Below are 5,653 nucleotides of genomic sequence, written 5' to 3'. Positions count from 1 at the left end.
TTGGAGGAAAAATTTGGACAGATAGCTATTTCAAATGTTGCATAAATCCAACGATCATAATTTTTGCTCATCTGCCATGTGATCTGTCTTTTGTACTCTGTTGAAAGACATCAGATGATGAAGTGGACCCTGGCAAGTGCAGCCTGCAGAAGGGCAGACCTTTAAACCTGGGAAAAGCTAATGAAGATGCAGTAAACCTGAAACATACTAAAAGAATATGTAAATATGTAAATGTGTGTGTCTAAGTAGGTATACTTTTTTTTTCTTCAGTTTTTGTGTTCTTTGGTGGCATTGTTTTTGGAATAAGACAAACCTAAGTTTGAACCATGACTCCACCATATATTTGCCCTCTTAAACATGAGCAAGTTAGAGCTAATCTTTTTAAGCTTTCATTTTCTCAACTCTAAAAATACCTCTTTTTCATCACTAATATACTTATAAGTACACACACACACACCCTACATTTGTATTTAAATTAATTAGAAACATACATATAATTTCTTCCTTTGTCGTGATCATATATATTGGTCTAGACAGTCAGTGTCTCAAAAATACAGTAAACCTGAGATAAATAATTTGACACTCCCTAGAATAATTTAGCACATTACTTATTTACTTACTAGGGACTGCAATGGGGAATGAGGCTAGAATCCACCTTTTGGCCTCTCTATCTTCCCACCCCAAGAGGCACCTGAGATACATGAGCAGAGTTCTAGCACCACACTTTTGAAAACACTGAGCTAAGCCAACGCCCTTTATTTCTAAGAAAACAGACTCAAACAAGTAGAGTATGTTGCTCAATGTCACATATAACCAGAACTAAGACCTCCGACTTCTGATTTCCATAGCAATGCCAATTCCACAGCAGACCAGAAAATCTGGTTGCAGGAGAATCTCCTGATGGGCTGAACACCTCCTGTTTATTTCATAGATCCACTCTCCACTCCCTTTCATCCTGTGTTGTCTCAAGAAGGGGCAGAGGAGGGTTGACCTTTAAGGACAGCAACAAAAGGCTCCCTTATCTTCCCGCTTCTAGCTGGGTTCTGTCATGAGGAGGACAAGTAGCAGATGGAGGGGGAAGATGAAAATGTGGTTGGGATATAGCTTCCCTGGCTGCCTTCATATGAAATTACCCAGGGTTGGCTGCATCCTTAGACTTAAGGTCATATAGCTCCTGTCAGGTGACTCTCCCCAGGGGGGCTTCCCCTTTCTCTGGGTTCTGATGACTATTTCCACCCTTTCCTTTTCTAAACTAGGGGTGATAATAACACCCTACTGCTCCTAGACTGAAAGTACTGCACTATTCCTTCTAGTTTCCCTGTACTCTGCTGGCACCTTTGTAAAGAGTCCCTTTATTAAACTTTCTTCAGCTTACCCAGTTTGAATCTGTCATTGATTTCCTGTTGGGACCATAACTGCAGAGCTTTTAAGAAGTATAAATGCCTGGGGGCTTTCAAAAGCTGCCCGGATGATTCTAGTTTATAGTTGGAGTTGAAAACCTCTATACTAAACAATGATGATAATTTTTGTTATTAAGTCACTAGTGTACACACACACACACACACATACACATTCACATTCACTGTTAGAATGGTAGAGGCTTCAAATGTGAGGAAATATCATGAGCTATGTTGGCTGAATTCTGGTGATCTATGGTTTTTGCAAACTACCATTCAGGCTGACCTATAGATTGCTAAATGTGCAAACTCTTAGAATCAAGCAGCCTTGTAAATGCATTCAAAATATTTACTTTCATGCTGTTTCTTTCTTCTTCTAACACCCAAATGTCAATTTTAATGGAAGCCACATCTCCATGTATTGATTGGTTCATCTTGATTTTTTTAAGGTTCAGTTTGGCTGCCCAGGAAGCTTTTCTAGCATTTGAAACATTTATAAAAATTGTCTATTTGAGAGGGGCAGAAAGGGAGACAAGGTAGGTGGGGGCAATGAAAAAATATCCCATCTTGTCTAAAGTAAAACATAGTTTGTTGCCAAGATTTCATTAATTCAATAAATAAAAATACAAGTAAGGTCCAACTTCAACAAGCTCGAGTTTCCCTCCTAGCTGTGAAACCACAGCACCCCAACGGCTTCTAAATATGTCAACACATCCCTTCCCATCCCAAACTCACCAGTGTGGAGAATATGATTTATGAGGTTGTCTGACCATCCTTGAAAGAGGTTTTTAATGTTTTACTCTTATAATAAGTGTAGTTCCTTCATTCAGTGGTAAATGATTGTGGGTTCTTAGAGAAAAGGGGTAATTTCTGGAAGAAGAAAAAAAAAGCCTAAACTTGGAAAAGATCTGCAAATAGCTCTGTAGCACCTTATGGTGTGTGAGCTAATTACTGGCCCTAAGTTGCCTAGTAAACGGTCTTTGTTTGGGAAGGTTAAGTTTCATCTTGGTTCCAAAAACGCAGAGCCAGACAGGGAAGGGGAAAAAATGATGGTGTCTGTGGCGAGGCTGGCAGTGCTGCCTGCCGGCTGGTTATTTGGAAAGGTTTTAGAAGATGTGTTATGAGGCACAGTAATGTGTGTCATTTGTCATGACTTAAGTCAAAGGATTTAGCAGGTTGAGTCTGTGGACTTGAAGTTGGAATGGAAATTATCAGATAATGTGTCAGCTTGACTTTCATACCATCAAAGAGGGAGGAAGAGGGCACAACTTTTTGGACTGCAGAATATAATCAAGTGGAAGAGGGGAAATTTGGCTCACCCAACTTTAAATTTATTTTTATATAGGAAAGTGAGTTTCAGTTGCAGAAAAAGTTCCTCAGTTTAGAAGCTGTTAATGAAGAATGTGAATGTTCTAAAATATTTCACAAAGGAGGCATCTCTTGTTCTGAGACAGAAGTAACACTTAAAAAAATGGAATGTGAAGATGGCCGAATAGGAACAGCTCTGGTCTACAGCTCCCAGCATGAGCAACGCAGAAGACGGGTGATTTCTGCATTTCCATCTGAGGTACCGGGTTTGTCTCACTAGGGAGTGCCAGACAGTGGGCGCAGGTCAGTGGGTGCACGCACGGCGAGGCATTACCTCACTCGGGAAGTGCAAGGAGTCAGGGAGTTCCCTTTCCTAGTCAAAGAAAGGGGTGACAGACAGCACCTGGAAAGTTGGGTCACTCCCACCCAAATACTGCGCTTTTCCAAGGGGCTTAAAAAACGGTGCACCAGGAGATTATATCCCGCACCTGGCTCGGAGGGTCCTACGCCCATGGAGTCTCGCTGATTGCTAGCACAGCAGTCTGAGATCAAACTGCAAGGCTGCAGTGAGGCTGGGGGAGGGGCACCCGCCATTGCCCAGGCTTGCTTAAGTAAACAAAGCAGCTGGGAAGCTCAAACTGGGTGGAGCCCACCACAGCTCAAGGAGGCCTGCCTGCCTCTGTAGGCTCCACCTCTGGGGGCAGGGCACAGACAAACACAAAGACAGCAGTAACCTCTGCAGACTTAAATGTCCCTGTCTGACAGCTTTGAAGAGAGCAGTGGTTCTCCCGGCACGCAGCTGGAGATCTGAGAACAGGCAGACTGCCTCCTCAAGTGGGTCCCTGACCCCTGACCCCTGAGCAGCCTAACTGGGAGGCACCCCCCAGCAGGGGCACACTGACACCTCACACGGCAGGGTATTCCAACAGACCTGCAGCTGAGGGTACTGTCTGTTAGAAGGAAAACTAACAAACAGAAAGGACATCCACACCAAAAACCCATCTGTACATCACCATCATCAAAGACCAAAAGTAGATAAAACCACAAAGATGGGGAAAAAACAGAGCAGAAAAACTGGAAACTCTAAAAAGCAGAGCGCCTCTCCTCCTCCAAAGGAACGCAGTTCCTCACCAGCAATGGAACAAAGCTAGACAGAGAATGACTTTGACGAGCTGAGAGAAGAAGGCTTCAGACGATCAAATTACTCCGAGCTACGGGAGGACATTCAAACCAAAGGCAAAGAAGTTGAAAACTTTGAAAAAAATTTAGAAGAATGTATAACTAGAATAACCAATACAGAGAAGTGCTTAAAGGAGCTGATGGAGCTGAAAACCAAGGCTCAAGAACTACGTGAAGAATCCAGAAGCCTCAGGAGCCGATGCGATCAACTGCAAGAAAGGGTAACAGTGATAGAAGATGAAATGAATGAAATGAAGTGAGAAGGGAAGTTTAGAGAAAAAAGAATAAAAAGAAATGAGCAAAGCCTCCAAGAAATATGGGACTATGTGAAAAGACCAAATCTACGTCTGATTGGTGTACCTGAAAGTGACGGGGAGAATGGAACCAAGTTGGAAAACACTCTGCAGGATATTATCCAGGAGAACTTCCCCAACCTAGCAAGGCAGGCCAACATTCAGATTCAGGAAATACAGAGAACGCCACAAAGATACTCCTCGAGAAGAGCAACTCCAAGACACATAATTGTCAGATTCACCAAAGTTGAAATGAAGGAAGAAATGTTAAGGGCAACCAGAGGGAAAGGTAGGGTTACCCTCAAAGGGAAGCCCATCAGACTAACAGCAGATCTCTCAGCAGAAACTCTACAAGCCAGAAGAGAGTGGGGACCAATATTCAACATTCTTAAAGAAAAGAATTCTCAACCCAGAATTTCATATCCAGCCAAACTAAGCTTCATAAGTGAAGGAGAAATAAAATACTTTACAGACAAGCAAATGCTGAGAGATTTTGTCACCACCAGGCCTGCCCTAAAAGAGCTCCTGAAGGAAGCGCTAAACATGGAAAGGAACAACCAGTACCAGCCGCTGCAAAATCATGCCAAAATGTAAAGACCATTGAGACTAGGAAGAAACTGCATCAACTAACGAGCAAAATAACCAGCTAACATCATCATGACAGGATGAAATTCACACATAACAATATTAACTTTACATGTAAATGGACTAAATGCTCCAATTAAAAGACACAGACTGGCAAATTGGATAAAGAGTCAAGACCCATCAGTGTGCTGTATTCAGGAAACCCATATCACGTGCAGAGACACACATAGGCTCAAAATAAAAGGATGGAGGAAGATCTACCAAGCAAATGGAAAACAAAAAAAGGCAGGGGTTGCAATCCTAGTCTCTGATAAAACAGGCTTTAAACCAACAAAGATCAAAAGAGACAAAGAAGGCCATTACATAATGGTAAAGGGATCAATTCAACAAGAAGAGCTAACTATCCTAAATATATATGCACCCAATACAGGAGCACCCAGATTCATACAGCAAGTCCTGAGTGACCTACAGAGAGACTTAGACTCCCACACATTAATAATGGGAGACTTTAACACCCCACTGTCAACATTAGACAGATCAACGAGACAGAAAGTCAACAAGGATACCCAGGAATTGAACTCAGCTCTGCACCAAGCGGACCTAATAGACATCTACAGAACTCTCCACCCCAAATCAACAGAATATACATTTTTTTCAGCACCACACCACACCTATTCCAAAATTGACCACATACTTGGAAGTAAAGCTATCCTCAGCAAATGTAAAAGAACAGAAATTATAACAAACTATCTCTCAGACCACAGTGCAATCAAACTAGAACTCAGGATTAAGAATCTCACTCAAAACCGCTCAACTACATGGAAACTGAACAACCTGCTCCTGAATGACTACTGGGTACATAACGAAATGAAGGCAGAAATAAAGATGTTC

Source organism: Homo sapiens, chromosome 2, assembly GCF_000001405.40.
Source record: "Homo sapiens chromosome 2, GRCh38.p14 Primary Assembly".
Lineage (NCBI taxonomy): Eukaryota > Metazoa > Chordata > Mammalia > Primates > Hominidae > Homo > Homo sapiens.
The sequence above is the reverse complement of the archived record's forward strand: the minus strand, read 5'-3'. Positions refer to the sequence as shown.